This window comes from Homo sapiens, chromosome 10 (assembly GCF_000001405.40).
Source record: "Homo sapiens chromosome 10, GRCh38.p14 Primary Assembly".
NCBI lineage: Eukaryota > Metazoa > Chordata > Mammalia > Primates > Hominidae > Homo > Homo sapiens.
Genome location: NC_000010.11, coordinates 66,744,661 through 66,770,351, shown reverse-complemented (window position 1 = coordinate 66,770,351; position 25,691 = coordinate 66,744,661). Strand labels below are relative to the sequence as shown.

At 35.7% G+C, this 25,691-nt stretch overlaps 1 protein-coding gene across 8 annotated transcripts in view; it reads left to right on the top strand.

The window, feature by feature from the left end:
- Nucleotides 1-25,691, top strand: part of CTNNA3 (catenin alpha 3) — a 1,851,072-nt gene that overhangs the window by 993,243 nt on the left and 832,138 nt on the right. For all 8 annotated transcript variants that reach the window (XM_047425124.1, NM_013266.4, XM_017016152.2 and 5 more), the window contains one exon: nt 3,936-4,088. In XM_047425124.1, coding sequence (XP_047281080.1) covers nt 3,936-4,088 — 153 coding nt within the window. The remainder of the gene's footprint in view (nt 1-3,935; nt 4,089-25,691) is intronic.

Genomic DNA, 25,691 nt, shown 5'->3' with positions numbered 1-25,691 from the left:
AAGGAATGCATTGTGCCACTGGGCAGGAAAATAATGCGGAAATAAATAAGATAGAGGCTACTTTGCTGTTATATGTAGGTATATATGACTATACAATTTAATGAAAACAATTCCATATGAATATGTCAGAACATATAATGAAAATTGCTTAGCATAACATTCTAGTCCTTTCACATCTTGTCCCTACCTACATTTCTAGTCCTGTCTCATAATAATTCCTCTTTTACAGTGAGTATAATTCAGGGCATGGCAGAACAAAACCCAGTGATGTACAGAGCCAAGGTAGTAGAGTATAATTAGCAATGAGTAGTTTACATAAGACATTGGAGTCTCTTACTTGGTGCATGATCAAACAACATTAATACCAGACAAAGGTACCTGTTTAGATGGGTTTTCCTGAAAGCAGTGACTAAAACTAGGACCTTAGTGCAGGTCATTTATTTAGGAGGTGATTCCTGGAAGCAAGTGTTATAGAACATGAAAAGCGAGGCAGGGAAAGAGGAAATGATATGCTATTGAGATTGCTGCTGTAGGCAATGAGAGCTTGAGGATCTCTGAGAATAACAGAATGTTTCCCAGAATTGTCTGACTAATGGATGGAGGGTAGGAATTTTATGCAGTAGTTTCTATCCGCATAGGTTGAGGGTTTCCCCCAGTGGTGTGGACGCTGAAGAACTTCCAGGCAGTGTTTATGCTGGGTTGAGAATTTCACAGAGACTTGGAACAGGCCCTGAGATAGAATAACAAAGAGACACAAGGAAGGCACACAAGAAGCATGGAATGTCTTCAGAGGACATGGAACTGTTCCCCCCAGCAAAAGCTGAAATCAGAGATAGATCCAGAGGATGAGATATAAGGCACCAAAAGTCTATAATGTAGTTCATAATAGTGAAGGTAAAGGATCAGGAACCAGCAAGTTAGACAGGGAGAATGGTTAGACTGGTGAGAATATTGTGGGTTGGTTGAATTAGTTACACTTTGTTTTTTGCATGGGTTAAGATGATTTCAGTGGGAGAGATACATCCCTGCCTCTGACCATGTGCTAGCTCCTAAAGGTTTCATTCACATCCAGCTCAAGTCACTGATTTCTGGGCATTTCCTTCTGTCATGGGACGAAAAGATGACAAAAGTTGGCACAATGTGAGACAATAGTTCTTTTTCACCTGTTATTCTTGCTTTGGCAATAAATCAATATGTATTTCCAGCAAAGCAAAGGGGAGTAATAAGACTTTTTGGCTATAGTTGCAGATGGGAAATTATAGTGAAGTCTTTATATGAAAAACAGTCACTCTTTAAACATATATCTCAGAGTAGTAAATACCAAGTCTTGCTTCTTCATGTCACAATCAAATTATTAAAAACAGAAGTTTATACTCACTGTCTTTACTGCCTTATCTCTCATTCACTCTTCAAACCATAGCAATAGGACTCTTCAGCCCACTTTTCCACTGAAACTGCTCTTACCAAGTTTATCAATAACCTCTTAGTATTCAAGCCCAAGGGACAAGTCTCATTCCTTTTTTTTAATTTAATTTATCTTTAAAATTTGACTCTAATTTTTTTTTTTGCTGTCAGTCTCTAAGTTTTTCTTTATTGTAATGTTTAATGTATTATTGTAATATTCACTCTTCTACTAGATTATAAGGGATCATGAATTTCCATCTTAACATTTCCTTCAATACCTTTCTCTTGGTAGAAAGGTGAGGAAATGGTTTCCAGAAATATTTACTGAATTGAATGAAATCATTTACACAGCAGAGAAGATTTAACAAGTCCATGATGGGAATATTATAGTTATGTTTGGTAGGATAACTACATTTGAAGAGCATTAACACAGAGATATATTTGAAAGTTTGTCTTTTAGTTGTGGGTAATTTGTCTCTTTGTTTCTTGGCTATTATCTCAGTCTCTTTTTAGGCCCTACTCTTTAATCATGACTCCTGTAAATGATAGTGTTTCCTAAGAGGTCCTCTGTGGGTCTCCTCACTCTATATGGTCTCATCCACACTCTCCGCTTGAGTTAGTTCCCATATGCTGGCCCTTCATGGCATATCTCTAGTGTAGATTTCATCTGAGCTTTCCTTCTACATGTCTCAATTAGAATGAAAGAAGAAAAGAATAATCTACATGTCCTAATTATGAATGAAAGAAGAAAAGAATAAAGGGGAGGATAATCATTAAAAAATGCCCCCACTCTGAGAAATTAGAAGGAATCTCTACTTTTCTCTTCAGTATCTGAAACTTACACAACCTGTAGTTCCCAGCTCAAATAAATTCGTGACCTTACGCCTGACTTCCCTGGTGTACTTCCTATAGACAGCAAACACATTATTCATTCAGTTAAGGTCTCCCCTTTGCCTTGTAACCCCTTGGCACTCTATACTTTGTCCTAATAAGTGCTCAGTAAATATTAGTTGCCACTAGTAATTTGCCTTTCTGCATACTAAGCAGAATCCTTCCTTGGGGATCTTCCTGAAGCCTTTCTTAAATTGTTGATAGTCAGAAAATTTCACAATGCTTCTGAGCAAGCTCACTATTTTGGGCAGAGATATTTTTCTTCCAGAAACCTGTAATTATTATGGATTTATTATTCTATGATCATTATAGAAGACAGTACTTTCTATTTAGCTCTATCATTCAGCTCTCCCAAAATGTATTACTATTCATTCCCAAGTAATCTAAAACTAAACTAAGTGTCTATTCTTTTAAAAAAATACTCTAAAATGTAACTTTGACAGAAAAATTACATTTTTCTGTCTGACAGCTATTTATCTGTTTTATTGTACAGAGGTTATTGAACTATATGAAGGTCTTGACTCAAAAACCTTTGGGCCCATTTATAGTCATTGACATTGTTAATGAAACATTTCAGGATATTATGATTTTTTTTTTTTTGTCGGGGGGAGTGGATGGAGTCTCACTCTGTTGCCTGGGCTAGAATGCAGTGGTGCGATCTCAGCTCACTGCAACCTCCTCCTCCTGGGTTCAAGTGATTTTCCTGCCTCAGCCACCCAAGTAGCTGGGAGTACAGGTGCCTGCCACTATGCCCAACTAATTTTTTTATTTTTAGTAGAGACGGGGTTTTACCATGTTGGCCAGGCTGTTCTCGAACTCCTGACCTCGTGATTCGCCTGCCTTGGCCTCCCAAAGTGCTGGGATTACAGGCATGAGCCACTGTGCCTGGCCCGATATTATGATCTTTAAAGACTCGATATTATATAAACACAATGAATTAATTTTTCAGTGCAGTTTTAAATCTCAGAAAATATCTGCTGACTAGAGTAATTGCCTAATTGTCATTAATAAGCTTACATGTAATCTAATTGAAAAGAACTAATTGTAGCAGAATGTTATAGTTGTTTAATAATTTAAAGTGTGAGGGCAAGAACAATGAATGCAAATGGGGAAAATTGGACATCAAACTCATTTATTATTCTTCTTGCTCTATTAATCTGTTATCAACTGGCATAATCGGTGATCTAACTTGGCTTAATTACTATGAAGTCTACAATTTAGCTAATCAAAATTTATCATCAGTTCCTCCAACAAGGTAGAAAACATTCTATAATTTGTAATTATAAAAATACAAGATGTACAATATTATGTGTACACACTCATAAATATTCTAATAACACAATTTCTTTGAGCAAAAAAGAAAGTATTACCATTTTTAATCTGACTTCCAGGTTAAATACAACTTAAGAAAAATTACTTTTGAGAGGAAAGGAAATATTGCTAGATGATTTTTTCTTTTTGCCTGGATATTTTGTTTTTTAGTTTCTTAAGGGACATTCTTGTATATCTTTAAGTATTGTGATTTTAGGAATTGTGCAAAAATGAAAAATGAGTTGTGTAACTACTGAGATTGTAAGAAAAGGAAACACAGTGAACTATTTCCTGGAAAAAAAAAACCTGAATTTTTCATTTCTTCTCAGCTCCGCAAGGCTATTATAGATCATGTGTCAGACTCTTTCCTGGATACGACAGTCCCTCTTTTGGTTCTCATTGAAGCTGCTAAGAATGGCCGGGAAAAGGAAATAAAAGAATATGCTGCGATATTTCATGAACACACCAGCAGGCTTGTAGAGGTAAGCATGCTAGAACTGTAACTCACTAAAGTCCAGGAGAATGAGGCTCCCATTCTCCATTTATGGTTGAATTGTACCTAAATAAAAACTTTTGACACCGTGTTACAAATACAGCAGAGTCTGGCCAAAGTAATATGAAGGTGTATATGTCCGATTGTATAGATCACTCCACATTGGCTTGTCTTATTTTTTAAACACATATTTTATTAGAGCTTCACAAAGGAACTGGCTAAATGCAGAATACTTTGATTTATCCTTACAAATATTTTCTTCCCATTCTGACTTAAAAGTATCAAATACTCTATCACATATTATTTTATTATTTCTCTGCCATCTTTTTGTAGCTGCATTACTCTGTCAGCCTTTCAAGTCATATTTAACTATGTAGCATGACTACAGAACAAGAATATAGGAATATACAGGGTAGAGATATCCAGGAATAAGTAAGTAGGGGTAGTGAACTGGCTCATGTCCCCACAGGGGCAAAAGAAGACCATAAAACTATTATTCCCTCTGCTTGGAAACTAGAGACATGGGAATGCACCATGATTTTTGGAACAGGATAGCATATTGCTGAAGGAGCTGTGAAGTGCTGATAGCTTCCCAGGAGAGAGATAATAGAACTTACTGTATTATGGATGTCAATAACACAAGTATATTTAAGAGACAGCCTGAATGGAGGAATGTCTAATACAAATAAGATGAAAGTATTCACAAGGCCACAAACCAGTGGCAAGAAGTGGGAAATGTTATCTACTAGATCCATAGATCTCAGATGATATTCAGTATGGCTCATACTCATCAGCATGGCTGCACCAGTTGTTCATGGCTGGTGTCTACTCTGGTTGTCAGTGGCCATGCCATATGGGTTATTAAATGTTTTGACTGCCACACCTTCCTATACCAGTCATGAATTCTGTGGTCAAATATGTTTTTACGGCCCAAATGCTTGTAAATAGTCTGTCTAATAATCAGCACGTGAATTAGAATCACACCATTCAATATAACATCTACTGAAAAAGAGAACTTTCCTAACATCTTTAACGTGGATCCACGGGGAGGAGGTTTCCAATGCAGCTAGCATTTGCGCTATAAACTCTCTTTCTGGATCTCAATCTCCAGAACTAGAAGATGAAAGGAGTGGATGAATACATGATTGCTACAATTTTTGTAGCCCAAAGCCGTTCCACCTCCAACTTTGAAATCTTCTTTGAATTTCCCAAGAACTCTGTTAGATATGGCAAGTGTTACAATTTCAATTGGCCTTAGATGTAAATAAAGATATAAAACCCAAACCAAGCTAATTAGAGTTGGAGCTAATTTCCAGGTTATTAAACTAAATGAGAGGTTGACTCAAAAACCTTTGGGCCTCTTCATAGTCATTGACATTGTTAATGAAACATTTCAGGATAATTTTTAATTAATTGAATTATTTATTATTTATCTGCTTTTATTTATTCCTTCGTCTACACATTCCAGAAAGATTTATTAACTGTAGACACCAAAGAATGTTAAAAGTAAGGCGGGAAGAAATGGGAACAGGTTGTAAAAGACATAACTAAGCACAGTCCCTGACAGTCATAAAAGTGTTATCTAAAAATGTGTTCTCTAAGCTGAAGACACACCAAATTATGAAAACAACTTCTTTTTATGAAATCCTCTGAAAGCAAAACTTGGTTTATGCTGACAAAATTGAATTCCTCTTCCTATTTCTCAGTTTAGTTTTTTGATGAAGAAGGGTGCCTTGGTCGAACAATTCTCAGAAAATAAGTACTATCTATAGCTCCTCTTGGAAAATTTACATTCTTGAAAAATCCTGAAGCAAAGAGACCTCTTTAATTTAGTTTAAACAAATTAAATCAGCTTATCTCTCTTTCTTTCATGGCACATTACTAAGACACTACCTTCGAGGAACACTTGGGAATGCTACCTTATACCAAATGATGGTTTACTGTTATGTAGACACAGCTCTAAGAATTTGTTTTAAAGTTCAAGAATTTTGGAAATTCTGCATTCCATGTGAATTTTGAAAGAATAAAATCTTTTGGAATTATGAACTATTGGGAGACTGAAACTGGATCTCATTTAACTCGACATGTTTCCTTAACACATTATAATGAGATTATACGAGGTTTGGGGTGATATTTGAGTTCTGGTTTTCACTCTGGTAATGCTTAGAAGTTTTGGTCTAAGTCACTTTCATTTCTGATGAGCTTTTAGTATATAACAAACCATCCTGAAATTTAAAGCAACTATTTGTTATCTCTCACTAATCTATGGGTTGACTGGGAAGAGCTGGGCAATTTTTGCTTAAGGTTTCTCGTGTGATTGCTGTCACATACTGGCAGGGAATGGAGCCTGCCAAAGGTTGGCCTAGTCCGGACATGCTAAATGGCATATTCACATGACTGGAAGTGCGTTAACTGTCAGTTGGGGGCTTAGCTGTGGTTGTCGACTGGTGCATCAATACATGGCTTCTTCATGTAGCTTCAGCTTTTCACAGCATGGTGGTTGGGTTCTGAGATGAGAAGTCCCAAATGCAAGCAAGAATTAGGAAGCTGCAGTTGTCATTTGTATTCTATTGGTCAAACCAATTACAGAGACTGCCCAGACACAGGAAAAGGGAGCAGTGAGACTACATTTCTCAATAGAAGGAATAGCAAAGTATTTGTGGTCACTACTCTTCTCAGGGTTTCATTTGCTTTATCTATAAAGTGAAAGTTAGACAGGATAATATCTAAGGTCATTCCAAGTTTCTTAAATTCTATGATGTAACAATTTTTTTTTCAACTGAGAGACTTACAGACTTATAGATTCCTATAACAGGAGAAAATAAAAATGATTTTTAGGCATACTGCTTGCACACTAGGTTGTTTCTCTCTCTCTCTTTCTCTCTTTCTCTCTCTCTCCCTCTCTCTCTCTGTGTGTGTGTGTGTGTGTGTGTGTGTGTGTGTGTTTATCTCATGAAGAAGAAAAAGTACTGCATTTATCTCCCAGAAAAATCTGTTTTTGAAAGGATCTTCCTAACCAAAGCAACAGAGAAAATCATCAGTAATTTACTACAAACATTGAGACACAAGTGTCTATGATAGACTCGTGGAAAATAGGAGAGCCTAAATATATCAGTTTTAGAGGACAATATGAGTTCTCCTTGTATAGACTATTTACCAATCCCCTACTTCCTTGCTCCCTACCACCCCACCCCACAGACATGCACATACACTCATCTTATTCCCAAGTTGGGCAATTTGACATAGCACGGCAGAAAGTCTTACATTCTAAATGACTTTGAGAAAAAGCTATTATCAACATGTCTTTGTTTTGATACCTCAACCATGTTTGTCAGAGAAATCTAAAATCAGTGAACATGTTGAAGTAAGACTTAAATGAGAAAAAAGCCCATATTTAAAGATTTCTATCAAGTCTTTGAAGAAAACCTCCACACTGTTAAAGGAACTCTTTAAATAATGGTTAACGTGTAACTTTTACAAAAAGATAGTAAAAAGTAGGACTAAACACAAAGCAGAAAATGAAATATTAAAAAAGTATGTGGGTAATAATTTGAAAAACAAGAAGTTCTGGGGAATTCAAAAAAACAAACGGGAATGAGGAGGACAGTGGCCGAAGAATTTGGTCTGAACATGCCTGTTCCTTGGTGGTGACACATCTGAGGTGTCCCGCTATACTAATAATACAGGAGGAGACCTCAGATGTGTCACCACATCTATTATTGTAGTTTACTATAAAATGATCATGGGTAATGATGGTTATAAAACCCTGGATAGTGCCAGTAACTGGAGAATCTAGATCTTTGTGGCTAATTTTATCTTAGTTATGCTGAGCTGAGTACCTATTATGCAAACTTTTCCTACTTTGAGCATCCAGTTACTCTGTGTTCTTGGATCCACAGAACCACAGTGGGGAAGGATAAGAAGTCGTCAGGAGTATTTTAAAAGTCATCTTCACATAGTGATTAGCAATGAATGACAAATGTGTTCAATTAATGACAAATGTGTTCATATCCTCCCCAGTACTTTGATCTCACCTTGTTGGTGATTTAGGGCACCGTTATCTCTACTGGCTTCTGCCAATAAAATCTATTGAACAGGAAGATAAAAATATGAAATTTAGCTTAAAAATAAAAATATTCATTAGTTCTAGAGAGGATTATTGCTTTGAGGCTCCTCTGATAGCAAAGTCTATACAGCTCATGCCCAATAAATCCACATTGAATGAAGGAAAACATTCATAGTACCAATTAATTTTAATTTCTTTTTCTTTCTAAAATATTGACTTTGTGAATGCTAGTAACTGGACTTGAAATATATGTCTGAGCTCAGTTATAAAGCAGAGAAGCTCCCTACTCTACTGCATATAAGTACTTAAAATTAATTATTCACAGTGATTTTAGTAAATGCCATTACCATTAATTATCAAAAGCAGACTCTATAGACTCTGTTCCAGAGCTCCCTCATAAAAAGTTTCTGACAATTCAATAACATCTTTCAAGCCCTTTGCTATATCAGAGATATAGTTTCTAACCTTAAAGTGGTACTATAACTATTATTCGGAAGAATGCCATTACATTCAATAAATGCATTATTTATTATTAAAAAGGCTATTATGATTAAATGGCTATCACTTAATATTTCTCTAAAATCAATTTTGAAAAATTTCACTCTTTTTTTGAATTATATTTGTTTTCTGCAAGTCAATTCATGCTGAGCACTACAATCACTACCAACGAAAACAGTGAAATCTCCAGTTACCCTATGGATTTTATCGTATTAGTTATTAAATATGACAGTATTAATGATCTAGGCCGAAATTTTTCTATAAATTAAAGAATTTTCTCTATGTGGAAAGCCAGGTTTGTCGGTGCTTTGACTTACTCATCAAAAATTCATCTATCTTTATGTACCTTATTTTAGTAAGTTTCATGGGAGCCTTTCATCAGAAAGGAAAAAGTGGGTGGACATTTAATTATAATACTTCCCTACCACCTACAAAGCTGATTGTTCCCACTCGCAAAATGGTGAGCCCTATTTAGCAAAGCCCCAGTGCCAAGACAGAAGGCTTTAGAGGGGACTCTTGCAGTTTGCAAGAAGTGCTGATTGCTATGAGCTCTGCTAATTTCTTTGCTTTTTGACAGAATGCTGTTCAAGTTTCACACATTGCTTTAATTGGTCATCTGTTATCAAATAAGGATATGTTTGATTATAAATAAATACAGCTTTTCCAGTCCCCTTCCATTCTTCCTTCTTCTTTCCCTCAAAAAAATATAAAAGAAAAAGAACAAACCCATACTTAACACTTGTACACAAACCAACAACTGTTCTAAGTGAGCATCTTGGCAGCTCTCCTGTTTTGGTAGGGAAGGGATGCTATAGGCGGGAATGCTTTACTTATGTAGAACAGAGCACACCGGTGTGACTGCCCACTCCCTTGGTTATAAACTGCTCAGCATCTTAGTCCTTTTACTGTTAAAAAGATGTGGCTGAACATGACCTTTAAAAGCCTAACCAAATGCACGGTGAGTTCCTTTCCATGTTGTAGTGATTTCTTTATAAATTTTCTACTTACGGTCTTTGGAATATAAGAAAAGGGTAATGATTCATTTATAGAAAAGTAAGAGCCTTCCCACAATCAAGTATAGATATTTTCAAATGGAATGTTAGTGTCTTAGAATTCGGAGAAAAGAGAAAATTATATGGGATTATAGTAGTTTGGGAATTTGGCAAGAAGTAAACAATAAGCTGAACCTTGAAAACTAGGCAGGCATTGGAATTGAAAAACAAACAAACAAACAAAAAACTCCAAGTAGAGATAACAGCATGAATAAAGGTACAGTGCTCATTCCTGTGTTCCAGGAATACTGTAGAAAGGAAATCTAGATAGGTAAGTTGGCAGGAGCATGAGATGGGATAGAGGCAGTTGAACAGCCTTAAATATTTGATTATCAGGCTGCACGGGTTAGACTTCCTCTTGTATAGCTGGCAGTAACATATCTGGAGAACTGTGGTAGCTTCTCACCAGGAAAGGGACTAAAGGGAAGTCATATTTCAGTAGAGCCTGCGTGTGGACTATTTTGCATCTGAATACAAAAATTTCTAACCTTTAACAATTGATTCTAATCTCACAAACATAGATTGCATTTAAAATAAACTGCATTTAAACCTAACTTATTATCATACATAAAAGAGAGAGAATAGAACTAGTTTTAATAATGAACTTGAAACAGAAAAGCAAGTGCCCCAGGACTTAACAGCACTAGGTTAAGGCTGGCCAATAGGAATTGAAAGAAATTACATGTATAGTTTTAAATTTTCTAGGATCCACACTAAAAAGAGTAAAAAACTAAACAGGTAAACTGGTTTTAATATGTTTCATTTAATTCAATATACCCCAAACACTATAATTTCAATATAATCAATATAAAAGCCATTAATGAGATATTTTATATTTCTTTTTATGCTAAGACTTAAAATTTGGGATGTATTTTATATTTGAAGCCCATCTTAATCTACCCTGGCCACATTTTAAGTGCTCAATAGCCACATGGCTGGTGGCCAGATATCAGACAGTGCAGTTCTAGGTAGATAATGAGCAAGTTGAGAGCAGAAGTGTCTTTATTCATTAATTTAATACATATGTCTTTAAAGCCTATTGTGACCATATACTGTGCTGGACCCTGGACATACTGTCTAGAACCTTTGTTTTTGTTTCTTAGTCTGACATTTAGTAAGTGCAGTGTTCAATAAATGTTGAATGAATTATTGAATAAACGAACATCTATTAACCCCATAGAAAATCTTGAAATGTGGACAACAACGTGATTTATTGAGTAAAGTATGAAATATGGAGACAGACTTGGGTTTGAATCCTGGCTAGGTGTTCTTAGGAAAAACACTTGATATCTCTTATATCTGCCTTGTAAAAGAAGTGTTCCACTGCAACCTGAAGCAAGTAGGATCCAATGAATACGAACACATTAAAGTACCAAATGCCACACAGTGTGGACATCATCGTTCAGGAAACATTTGTCTTCCCTTTCTTCTCTAAATGTTTTTTTCAAAAATCTTGCCTGAAAAGAGATCACCTGAATCTTCAGATAGCTCTGACAAGCGGTGACATTTTCCTTTTGAAAATTTCACTTCATAAGGTAATTTTCAAATGTATATGTTGTTGGACCCTTGTATCCAACTTTCAATTTCAGATAGAATTGTTTTTCAGCAACATTAACAGGTCAAAAGTTGTCATGTGCAAAATTCTCTGCTAAAATTATGTACCCAAAGTTCTTTTGTTGTCGTTTGTTTGTTTGTTTGTTTGAGACAAGTCTCACCCTCTGTCACCCAGGCTGGAGTGCAGTGACGTGATCTAGGCTCACGGCAACCTCTGCCTCCTGGATTCAAGAGATTCTCCTGCCTCAGTCTCCCAAGTAGCTGGGATTACAGGTGCCTGCCACCACGCATGGCTAATTTTTGTATTTTTAGTAGAGATGAGGTTTCACTATGTTGGCCAGGCTGGTCTCAAACTCCTGACTTCAGGTGATCTGCCTGCCTCAACTTCCCAAAGTGCTGAGATTACAGGCGTGAGCCACCATGCCCGGCCCAAAGTTTTGATATACAATTAATTGGTGGGTGAAACTTCTCTGAACTTGAAAACTTCCCCAGATTGACCTCCAACATGGTATTTGGTCAAGAGGTAACAAGCAAACATGCTAACTGACAACTAGCTGAAGAATAATCCCAGTCTTGAAACCAAACTTTGTTTTAATCATCAGCCTGATCATGCACTTTGGGGATGATCTGTTCTTTTTAATCAATTCACTATTCCACTCAATTAAACACAAGCATAATGAGTCCCTACGACGTGCTCTTTAGGGCTTATATATACTGAACCCTGCTGGTTAAAGCCTCATTCCATTTTTGTCTTTTGTGTTTTAAAATGAATGAGTTCTACTCCCATGCTGAAGTGCTTTTAACAAATCACTAAATTTTGGAATTCAGTTTCATTATCTATAAATGGAAGATGTGAGATTAAAATAATTTTCTCCATTCCTGGCATTGAAAGTTCTAAAAACCAAAGGGGAGAGTTCTTTTATTTGTTTCATACATGTAGGTAATTTGATGGTGAATGGAAGAGGCTAGTTAACCAGACATACTGCAGGAGTGGTTATTTTATGGCTTTTATAGGATGAAAATAACTTTAAAAATAATAAAAAGAAAAGAAAAGGGAAGAAAATAAAGGAAAATAAAATATTTAGTAATCTGTGCCAAAATCATGCAAAATACTTTACACTCATTACCTCATTATATCAATGCTCACAATGATGGAGATAAATACTATTATTACCATTTTGCTGATAAGGAAACCCTAGCTGAGAGAAATTAAGCAACTCACTTAAGATCACACAGCTAATATATGGAAAAGTAGATATCAGCTCAGTTCTATCAATGCCAGAGATTAAAGGGATAAAGGTAGCATAATAAATTTAAAAGTAGAAAGTGAGCCCAAGTTTTATATGTTTAATTATTTAAATGAAGAGAGGAGAAACCTTTCTGAACGCTTTTGGACAAGAGACCTGCTATTGAGTACATCAGGCTGCAAAAATTCTGAGTTGATTAGATTTCTTCTTATTCCACCTTCCTTAATTAGAGAAGCAGAGAGCTGGGAAGCCCACACTTCTGCCTGTAAAATCTGCATGCAGTCATTCTTTCTAACTCTTAAGTAACTGCTTAGCTATTGCTTAGCGATTAGCCCAGGACACAAGACCTAAGAAAATCAGTCATCTTCTTCTAATGAGAAAGTACAAGTAGTCCATTTGTAAGTTGATTGGAACCATTTTGTCTTTTAACCAGTGCTATGTATACTAGTTAGCTTCCTTACTTAATCCTCAATAGGCTATTGAGTTCCTAATAGAAGTATAGACTCGAAGGGCATTTTGTTATGAATATTCTTCCTAATCTAAAATGCATTTAGAGTTGCCACTCCCTATCACTCAGCCCCCTCTCAGCCCTAAGGTGGAGACAGAAAATTCAAATGCTTACAGTAGGTTACCAAGAAGTAATGAGTGAAAGAAAGGGCTCAGGAGCATGAGGCTGTGCTGAAATAATGAGTATACACTCAGTCTAAAGGGGTTGGCCTCTACTCGTCCCCAGTCAATTATTGCTGTGCATGAATGCAGGCCTAGTGTTGACAGACATTCACATTTCTCAAAAGAACTAAGAAATATGGATTTCAATGTAAAAGCCTGTTTGTTTTGAAATGTAGAGAGCTGAATCAATTTAAAGCAAAATTAAAGCAAAAACACAATCCCATCACTTATGACAATACATAATGCCAAGAATCACTAGTTTTGCAATTTCTGCTCTAGGGTCAAGTTTTGAAAAGACAAGGCTCAACAAGGTGGATTTTTGTTAAAGATGTCTATAAGATCTAGAGGACGTTATTTTGGTGAGAATCAGGTATTGCAACTATCTAGTAAAATACAGGAAGGGAACTTGATTTAGGGAAGTGGGTTCCTCCCAGCTTTCTTTCCTGTAGTGATTTATCTTGAATTAGGAGGTGAATTGAAGTGGATTAGAGAAACACAGAGGAGATCAGCTGTTTCCCCTTATCTCCTCTGCTGCTTGCAAGCAATGTTAGGGTAGGGGTCAGGAGAGAGGAAGGGGGACCTTGCAAAGGATTATTCATGTGTATGTTAGACCTAGTTAAATCTGTAGCTGTGTATACCCAGAAAGTCCCTTTCATGAGAAAATTAACTAGGCTTGGTGATTTCTGCAAGATAGAAATGTTAGATTTGATGCTTTTTAAGAAATGCTCCCATCACTAAAAAACAAAGTCAAATTTACTCTGAATTGCGTTGATCGCTTTGTCTTAAGTATAAGCAACTTGAAGAGATTTGAGTTTTCAAAATCACTTTGACATTTTTATGAAATTATATATGGCGTTCCAATATAAAAGTGAAACATCCTTAGAGAGTTTCACTTTGGTGCTTTGAATCAGCCTAGTGACTGTGTACTGCAAATGATCTCTCTTCCTGTCCTCCTCTTTTTTCACTCTAATGTCTTCCTCTCATTATTTTATTCCAGCTATTGGTCTAGTCAGATCATTGTGTCAAAGGAGAATTATCTATGTTGCTTTAAATTTTTCTTAGCTAGCAATATGATGTTTAAAGTTTGCATTATGCTTGCAAAAGGGCAAATGTTCTTCAAATAAATTTAAAAATAAAACAGAAGCACTGCTGGTGCTAGAGATTCAATCACAATCAGAAGAAATATACTCTACCTCTTTGAATCCTAGCATTTAGGAGGAGCTAAATAAAAGTAAATGGCAATTGTGTATGGTTGTAATTACTGGGTCTTATGGGAACTTATATGCAGATTGAATTAGTTTAGGATTAAACATTCCAATTTTGAGAAGTGGGCTTCTAAACTATGAACTAAAGAGAATTTGGGGGTTAAAAGTTGAATTAGGAAAAGGAGATGAGAATAGAGGGAAAGTTTAGAGACAGAAGGACTGGCAACGTTTAGACTGAGGAATGAGTATAGATTTCTATCTGTAAATAAATATTTGTTTCTCTTGTAGACACCCAGAAGCGGATTTACTGAGTCATATGGCACATGCATTCCCACTAACAATGTATAAGAATTCCAGTTGCTCCACACCCTTGCCAATATTTCGTATTGATAATTTTTGTGTGTGTTCTGTTTTCCATTTTTAATATGTATGTAATATTATCTCATAATGCTTCAACTTGCATTTCCCTAATTACAAATGATATCAATGATCTTTTTTGAGATATCTATTATCGAGATATAAGTCATGTTTTATACAATTCACTCATTTCGATTGTTTCCAATATTCCACAGAGTTGTGCAACTATCACTACAATCAATTTTAAAACATTTTTTCTATCTCCCTGAAACTAGGTAACTATTAATCTACTATTAATCTATCAAACTATTAATCTACTTTCAAGCCCTACTTTCTATCTCTACACATTTTCTTATTCTGGACATTAAATATAAAGGAACCATACAATATGTGGTCTTTATGACTTGTTTTTCACTTGGCATAATGTTTTCAAGGTTCACCTATGTGTAGCATGCATCAGTACTTCATTCCGGCTTATGCCCAGTTCTGATGTATACTGTTGTGTACTGCATTTCATTCTCTGTTCATATGTTGGTGAACATCTGGGTCATTTCTGCTTTTTTGGGTGTTATGAATAATTCTGATGAACATGTATATGCAAGTTTGTGTGTAGATATACTGTTTCATTTCTCTTGGGTATATATGTAGGAGTGGCATTTCTGGGTTTCGGTCATATGATAACTCTATGTTTAACAGTTAGAGAAACCATTAAGCTGTTTTTCAGTGGTGCCAGGCTCTACCATTTTACATTCTCATCTGCAGTGTATGAAGGCTTCAATTCTCTACATGCCAACAGTTGTTACTATTTGCCTTTGATTATAGCCATCATCGTGGGGGTGAAGTGGCTTTTCTCTATATTTTCCTGTTGGCTAATGATGTTGAATAGCTTGTCATGTGCTTATTGTTCATCTGTATACCTTTTTAATAGAAATATCTATTTGGATCCTTTGCCCATTTTTATGAATTCTTGATGTAACCCCCTTATCAGATATATGATTCGCAAAATTTTTCTTCCATGCTGTGGGTTCTCTTTTCCCTTTTTTGATGGTATTCTCTGAAGCATGAAGGTTTTACATTTTGATTAAATGCAGCTTATCTATTTTTTTCTTTTGTCATTTGTGCATTTGGTTTCATTTATAAGAAGTCATTGCCTAATCCAAGTTCATAAAGATTTATTTTTATATTTTCTTCCATGAGTTTTATACTTTTAGCTCTCACACTTAGGTGTTTGATCTATTTTCAGTTATTTTTTGTACATGGTGTTAGGTAAGAGTCCAATTTCATTCTTTTGCATGTAGATTCCCATTTATTCCAGCTCATTTCTTGAAAAGACAATTATTTTTCAATTACATTGCTATAAATAAATCAACTATAAATGTGAGGGTTTATTTCAAGATTCAATTCTATTCCACTGATCTATATGTCAACCTTTATGCCAGTACCACTCTATCTTGATTACTTTATCTTTGTAGTAAGATTTAAAACCAGAAAGTATGAATCCTCCAGTATCGTTCTTCTTTCCATTAAGGTTGTTTGGCTTTTATAGGTCCCTTGTATTTCTATATGAATCTTAGGATAAACTTGTAATTTATTCAATGACAATCTGAAATCTTGATAGGGATTGCATTGAATCTGTAGATCAGTTTGGGAGTATTTCCATCTTAACAATATTATGTCTTCTGATCCATGAACACGAGTTGTCTTTCTACTTATTTAGATCTCCTTTAATTTTTTTCAACAATGTTTTGTAGTTTTCAGTCTGCACTTATTTCATTAAATTTATTCAGTAAATTTTATTATCAATAAATTTTATTCTATTTGATGCTATTGTAAATGGAATTATTTCTTAATTTCATTTTCAGATTTTTTTATTGCAGTGTATTGAAATATAATTTGTTATTTGTGTGTGTGTGTATATATATATATATTTTCTTTTTTTTTTGAGATGGAGTTTCATTCTTTTTGCCGAGGCTAGAGTGCAATGGTGCAATCTCGGCTCACTGAAACTTCTGCCTCCCAGGTTCAAGCGATTCTCCTGCCTCAGCCTCCCGAGTAGCTGGGATTACGGGTGCCCACCACCACGCCTGGCTAATTTTGTGTTTTTCGTAGAGACAGGGTTTCACCATGTTGGCCAGACTGGTTTTGAACTCCTGACCTCAGGTGACCTGCCCACTTCAGCCTCCCAAAGTGCTGGGATTACAGGTATGAGTCACCGTGCCTGGCCTGTTATTTGTATATTAATTTTGAATCTTGCAACCTTGCTGAACTTTTTAGCTCTAATTGTTGCTGTGTGAATGTGTGTTCCATGAAAGGGCTGTATATACAAAGCATCCTCCAAAGGCTAACAGTGAAGAAAGCAAAGAGTGAGGCAGACAAATCTAGATTATAGGAAAATAGTGATTTATTGGGAGAACTTACAAATGGAAGCATGTCTTACACAGCTGCAAGATAGGTAGATCTCTGCACCACAACCCCCTTAGTCCAGGCTTGAATTGGGGAAAAAGTATATGTGCTCCAGAAGGAATGAGTAGGTAGCTATGGGCCTCATAGCCTATGATGTATGCAACACCATCAAGGGTTGTTTTGGAGGAAAGGGAAAACTTACAGTGAACAGGTATTTCTATATAAAAAGTAATACATCAGCTAGACATCTTGGAGGCATTCCTAGACTTAGGGTTAGTCAGGAGTCACATGGCAGATTAGCATTTAAATAGAGTCACTCTTGTTCATACAGTGTGTGTGTGTGTGCGTGTGTGTGTGTGTCTTCCTTAGGATTTTCTATATACAAGATCATGTCATCTGAGAATATAGCTATACTTCTTCCTTTCTGAAGTGGATATCTTTTATTTTATTTTCAAGCCCTATTTTCTTATTTTGTATTGTTTAAAAGTTGTTTATGTATTTAGAATGCAAGTTTTTTATTATTTATGGGATTTATAAATATGTTCTCTATTTCTATGGCTTGTTTTTCTAATCTCTTCAGAGTATCTTGTCCATGGCAGAACATTTAATTTCAATGAAATCAAACTTATTAAATTTACTATATATGGATTATGCTTTTATGACTTAGATAAGAAACTTTTGCCTAATCCAGAATTATGAAGACTTTCTTCTATGTTTCTCTGGAAGTCTGATAATTTTAGGGTTTGCATTAATTATTGTATATTAGTTAATTAGTGGTGTGAAATAAAGGGTCAAAGTTTACTTATTTATTACATATGGATGTCTAATTGTTTCAGCGTTATTTGCTGAAAAGATTATCATTTGTCTATTAAATCATGTTTGTACCTTTGTGAAATATCTATTGGCCTATATGTGTGGGTATGTCTCTGGTCTCTGTGTTCTGTTTCATTGATCTATGTGTCTACCATTTATTCAAGATTGTCTTTAAAACTGTAACTTTATAGTAAGTTATGAAATCAGGTGTTGTCAGTCCTCTTTCTTTTTCTTTAAGAAAATTGGTTTGGCTACTCTATTTCTTTAGCTTTTCCATGTAAATTTTAGTATAAGCCTATCAGTACCTACACAACTATTGTTAAGATTAAGATAGAAATCATATTGAATCGTTATATTAGTTTAAAAAGGATTGAGATCTTAACAGTATTGAGTTCTCCAATCCACAAACATGGTATATCTCTCCAATTATTCAGGCCTCCTTTGATTTTTTAAATCAATGTTTTGCAGTTTTTAGCATTCAAACATTTTTAATTGCCAAAAAATTTGCCACCTATTTTTATACTACATAAATCCATTGTAAGCTTTTTAACTTATTTTGTTAGTTTATGGGTTTTTCTTTTTTGTGTGTAGTACACTTAAAAGAAATTTTAGGAAAGTTGCCCATTAAATTAACTGATTTGATGTATAAACTAATTTAAGTAAGAAATGTGATGCTGCTTTTAAAATCAAAACTTGTTAGAACCTTGGAAGGCAGTATAGTCTAATGTAGTAGGAAAGAGCATAGAGTGAAACAAATACTGATTTCAATACCATGTGAATCTGAGCAACTTAGCCCATCATTCTCTCATTAGGAAGATGAAGACAATGTCTATGGACAGCACACCTATTCATTTATTGGGACAATCCAATGAGGTAGTACAAATAATATTACAATAAATATAAACCTAAAAAGTCCTAGGTTGGGAAAAAGAAATAAAACTGTCTTCGTTTGTAGATGACATGATTGTCTATGTCAAAAATCCAAAGCATTGACTAAAAAACTCTTTCTGGAACTAATAAATGATTGTAGAAAGGTTGCAGAATATATGATTAATATACAAAAGTCAATTGCTTTCCTATATACTAGCAACAAACAAGTGGACAAGTGGAAATTTTTTTTTTCAAGATAGTCTCACTCTGTCACCCAGGTTGCAGTGCAGTGGCACAATCTAGGCTCACTGCAACCTCTGCCTCCCGGGTTCAAGCGATTCTTCTGCCTCAGCCTTCTGAGTAGGTGGGATTACAGGCATGCACCACCATGCCTGGCTAATTTTTGTATTTTTAGCAGAGACGGGGTTTCACCATATTGGCCAGGCTGGTCTTGAACTCCTGACCTTGTGATCCGCCCGCCTTGGCCTCCCAAAGTGCTGGGATTATAGACATGAGCCACCACGCCCAGCCTGGAATTTTAAATTAAAAACATATTATCATTTACACCTTAACACCCTCAAAAATGAAATACTTAGGTATAAATTTAAATTGAGGAAAACTACAAACCTCTGATGAAAGATATTTTAAAAGTCTAAATAAATGGAGATACTCCATATTTGTGGACAGGAAAACTCAGTATTGTCAAACATGTCACTTCTTCACAACTTTATAGATTCAATGCAATCTCAATACAAATCCTAGCAAGTTATTTTGTGGACATTGACAAATTACTTCTAAAGTTTATATAAACAGGTAAAAGACACAGAATAGCCAACTCAATATTGAAAGAGAAGTACAACATTGGAGGACTGACATTACCTGCCTTCAGGCCTTATTGTAAAGCTGTAATGATTGAACCAGTATGGTATTTGAACAAAAAAGGTAAATAGATAAATAGTATAGAATAGAGAGCATAGAAATAGACCCACATAAAGACAGTCAACCAACATTTGACAAAGGAGCAAAAGCATTACAATGGAGAAAAGATAGTTTTTCAGAAATGATGCTGAAACAACTGGACATCCAAATGTGGAAAAATGAATCTTTACACATCCCCAGCACCCTGCTCAAAAATTAACTCAAAATGGGTCATAGACTTAAATGTAAACTGCAAAACCATAACACTTTTAGAAGATAACATAGGAGAAAATCTAGATGATTTTGAGAATGGCAACAACTTTTTAGATACAACATCAAAGTCATGATCAATGAAGGAAACAATTGATATGCTGGATTTCATTAAAATAAAAACAATCTGTTCTGCAAAAGATAATATGAAGAGAATAAGAAAACAAAGCCACACACATGAATAATATATTTGAAATACATAGATTCCATAAAAGACTATTATCATCCAAAATGTACAAAGTACTCTTAAAACTCAACAATAAGAAAACAACCAAACTGAAAAATGAACTGAAGGCCTAAACAAATCTCTAACCAAAGAAGATATACGTATGTCCAATAAGCATATGAAAAGATGTTCAACATCATATATCATTGGGGAATTGCCAACTAAAACAACAAGATACTATTACACATCTAATAAAATGGCCAAAATCCAAGATACTGGCAATACCAAGTGTTGGTGAGGATGCCGAGCAAGAAGCATTGTCATTCATTGCTGGTGGGAATGCAATTGCTGGTGGTACAGCCACTTTGGAAGACAGTTTGGCAGTTTCTTACAAAACTAAACATACTGTTACCATAAGACCCAGCAATCACACTCCTTGATATTTACCCAAGGGATTTGAAAACTTATGTCCACACTAGAACCTCCACATGGATGTTCATAGAAGCTTTATTCATAATTGCCAAAACATGAAAGCAATCAAGATGTCCTTCAGTAGGTGAATGAATAAATAAACCGGGGTATATCCAGACAATGGGAATATTACTCAACACAAAAAAATGAGCTACCAAGCCATGAAAAGACATGGAAGAAACTGAAATGCATAGTTACTAAGTGAAAAAAGCCAATCTGAAAGGATACATCCTATCTGATTCCACAATATGACATTTGGAAAAGACAAAGCTATGTGGACAGTAAAAGATTAGTGGTTGCCAGGGGATAGTGAAGAGGGAGAGGTGAGGAGGTAGAGCACAGAAGATTTTTAGGGCAGTGAAACTGTTTTGTAGGATACTGCAACGGTGGATACATGTTATTATTGTCAATCCGCATGCAATGTACAACACCAGGAGAATATCTTTCTTTCTTTCTTTCCTTTTCTTTTTTTTTTTTTTTTTTTTTTTTTTGAGTTGGAGTTTCCCTGTGTTGCCCAGGCTGGAGTGCAGCGGCACAATCTTGGCTCACTGCAACCTCTGCCTCCCGGGTTCAAGTGATTCTCCTGTCTCAGCCTCCCAAGTAGCTGGGACTACAGGTGACAGCTGGGACTACATGGTGACTACCTGCCAACATGGCTGGCTAATTTTGTATTTTTTTTTTTTTGGAAGAGATGGGGTTTCACTATGTTGGCCAGGTAGTCTTGAACTCCTGATCTCAGGTGATCCGCCCGCCTTGGCCTCCCAAAGTGCTGGGATTACAGGTGTGAGCCACCGTGCCCAACCTAGGAGAAAATCTTTATGTAAACTATGGACTTTGGGTGATAATGAAGTGTCAGTGTTCATCGATTGTAACAAATGCACCGCTGTGGTGCAGGATATAGACAGAGGGGTATATTGTCTGTGTGTGAGGACAGGGGTGTATGGGAACTCTCTGTACTTTCTGCTTAATTTTTGAGCACCTAAAATTGCTCTAAAAATAAACTGAATTAATTAATTATTTTATTAATTGTTAATTGGTTTATTCATTTAACAAATCTCAGGTAAAATGAACATCTGGTGGGATAAAAGAAATGCTGAGACAATGTCCCATTTAAAAATGTCTTTTATTCATGAAAATTTTAATTTATCTCTGATCAACAGTTAAATAATATGATTTAAGCATTTTTGTTTAAACATAGAAACTCCAGGATATTAATTATATAGGAGCTGCAGTACATCTGTCAGCTATAAAATATACCTAGGAAAGCAGCCACAAGAGGACAGTCACACTCAAATTAGCAGATTTATCTGATTTCAAAAATGGAACAATTTTTAACTACATTGGCAAGGAGCAGAACAGAAACATGAAAGCAGTAGTATAATTTTTAAAAAAGGTAACCTTGAAGTCAGTGAAAATGTCTGCGGAATTGCTTTTTCAACACAGAGACACACAAATGGATCTCACATTTTTGTTTTCAGAACTTTGAAGGTTATTAATCTCCAGATTCGAACGTTTTTTGTAATCAAACTTTTTCAATTTCCAAAGCCCCTTTGCAGTTAGATTCCCTCGTATAGGTTTGGCATGAGATGGTGCTGATACCTTTGATGCCAGAGTCGATGAGCTCTGTGGTAAGGACTGACAGCAGGAAGCACAGACACCAGCTTTCTTTAAGAAATGGACTGTCACTGTCAATTCTGCTGTGTAGAGAAGTCTGGACTCTTGTCAGTATGAATCTCCCATTTGACCTATGAGTTGGTGCCAGTGGAGAAAAAAATCCCCTCACTGTGGACGTAATTGTATTATTTTTATGATTGTTATAAACCTTTTTTAGAAAGCAAGAGGAAGATAAATGAGGAAAAGCATAGGGATCACCCAGGATTTATCTATTTCTTTGCTTGTTTCTAGGATACCTTCCTTCCTAAGAACTGGAGCAGAACAGCCCACACCAGAGTAGTTATTCATCACAGGCCCAGGTGACTCTGCTTTTGGAGTCCTGTTTTCTAAATCCCCCAGTATATGAAAACCACATTCCCATGACCAACCCACATGTAATTTCTGGAATTTGTGGTCAGTCTTAGACATTTTCTGCGGGGAGCTAAGAAAGATTAGATCTGAGTTATGACTGGAAGGTAGCTAAGTGACGTGCATAGGTCAGTTTTCCATAATTCAATTTATGTTCAGAAAATTCACAGCTATAAAGCTACCTGCTGCATTAAAACAGGATTGTAGTGATGCAGTGAGAGTGTGACCTGCAGGCAGTTTTACCGGAGCTAGACAGGTCTCAAGATTTCCATGGTTGTGATCATTATTTAAAGGCAGACTTCCTACTCACAAGTGTGGCTGCTATTAACCATTTAGTCTTGAAGAATTTCAAATTTATTTATTATTTTCCTAAGAGTAGGAAGGAGTTATTTTGACCTTGTTAACAGACTGAGTGCCTTTTCTATCCAAGATATGAACACACAGTAAAAAATTAAAAAGCATTAAGGCCCGAGACAATATATACTTTCTAAGCTTGTAAGCAACATTTAAGTGAAATAAAGTCAAAACATTTGAATTAGGTTCTATTCCTGGCTCTGTCACTTGACTTTGGCTATTATGCCTTTGTATAAAATACATTTCACCAGCATTTTATTTCTGTTATGCTTTTAATCTCCATTATATTGATGAAAAGACTTTTTTTTTTCTCTTGGAAAACATCTTGACATTACTGACTAAAAATCTATAAAGTATGCCATGAATAATCCCTACTAATTACTAATCGCAGTTCCATGACACTGCATTCCTTTGTGCACATGTGTGTGCACGCACACACACACACACACACACACACTGCATCCATTTTTGGCAACATAGAAAAGGAATATTTTTAAAGTTGTGAGTGCAGACATTTTAGGATTGACTCTTATTGGGAGAAAAATAGTTGTGCAAAATTTGATACTTATGGGGAGTCAAGGGACTCTCACCTTCATCTCTCTCTCTCTCTACCACAATTTTTGTGTAGAGAGACATAGAAGGTATCCACTTATAGTTACCTATTGTAGTGAGTGAACCTCTTTGTGATTCCATTTCCTCAAATGCAGAATGGGGACAATACCACTTTACAGAGTAGTTGTGAAGATAAAATGACATAGCTAATGTGTGAGGACTTAGAAAAGGAAAAAAAATGCTATGCAAATAATACTTGTAGTAATATTAATAGCTATCCTGTGTAAATGCTTTTGCATGCCAGACTATGTTACAGGCTTTATCTCAGTTAGATATTATTTGCCAAATTTTATAGAATGTTAAGAATGGTGAATCAGCTTTTTGACATCACACTGTTAGAAGATAGTAGAGCTAGAATTTGTACCTAGGTCTAAACTAGGTCTAAATGGATTCAAAGTCCATAATCTTTTGTTTTCTATTATACCTTTCATAAAATATTTGTCTTTGTCTTCACTAATAATTTTTACCTTGAAATTTGTTTTCCTAATATTATCTAGTATTATTTGTTAGCATTTGCTCCCAATGGCAAAACCAACTTTGTTACGTCTGATTGGACCGAAGACAGCCAGAGAGATGGAAAAGCTTAACAGACCTTCTAGTTTGCATTTCTTTTTCATTTGGCAAACAAGAAAATTAAGGAACATGCCGATGGCATATAGTTAGTTGGTGGAAGGTTAACTGACTACCAGATATCTCAATTGTAAATACCATTAATATGACTTATTATCTAATGCCTTATCATGGATAATATTGTGTGTCTTTTCTTCCCAGCTATGTTATCAGCACTTAAAATAATGGCTGTCTGTGGGCCGGGCGCTGTGGCTCACGCCTGTAATCCCAGCACTTTGGGAGGCCAAGGCAGGCGGATCACGAGGTCAGGAGATCGAGACCATCCTGGCTAACACAGTGAAACTCCATCTCTACTAAAAATACAAAAAAAAAAAAAAAAATAGCGAGGTGTGGTGATGTGCGCCTGTAGTCCCAGCTACTCAGGAGGCTGAGGCAGGAGAATGGTGTAAACCCAGGAGGTGGAGCTTGCAGTGAGCCGAGATCACACCACTGCACTCCAGCCTGGGCGACACAGTGAGACTCTGTCTCAAAAAAAAAAAAAAAAAAAAGGCTGTCTGCATTATATACCATTAGATCCTCCATGTATGGGACATATAGTAGCCATTCTACAATTAATTAAATGATTTAATAAATGCAGACACTTATGGAGCACATCCTTTGTCAGCAGGCCTGGCTTTTAAGGGATGGTGAGCAGAAACTTTAGTCCTTTAGATATTCTGCACACCTTGACAATGTATTTTTAAATGGTAGAGTTAATACCAGCAGATAAGCTTGTTCTTTGGTGTGATTTTTACCAAGTTTACTGTTTGACCTTGGCCAATCACAGAATAACTAAATATGAGGTAATCTGGACTTTTTACATCAAGTTTTAAAATATTTAGAACCTATGTGGTTACTTCTGCATATGCCAAACTTGAACAGGCATTACACTTGAAGCTAACAAATAAGATGTTAACATGATGCAGTGTAAAGAGAGCTCCAGACCTTGTTTGACTGAAAACTAAGAATGTGATGACAGCATGGTGGATGAGAGCTGAGAAGCGCTGGGGGTGGAGCTGGCTGTGAACAGGTGACTGAGTTTGTGCCAATCCATATAAAATAATGAACCCACGGTCTTGAATTGTGACTCTTAGCTTTTAAAGAGCTTTTGTGTTAGTGTAGTTAAAACAATTTAGCACCTTGAAATCAAGTAAGATATTTCAAAGGTCATTAAACAATCATTTTTGGGTGCTGACTTCTGAAATATTTTATTACAATTTATTCCTCAACATAAAAACCCTAGAACTCCTAAAGATATAGTGATTATACCTCAGATTCAGGAGTTTCATTTATTCATACACAAAAGAGGCTTAATTACACTGATTATTTTTCTCTATGCCATTTGGTAAGCATTTTATTTTAGGGGTATGGATTAGACAATAATCCTTATAAAACAGTATTTGAGATTTTAAACTAAGCAAATTAGCCAATTATAT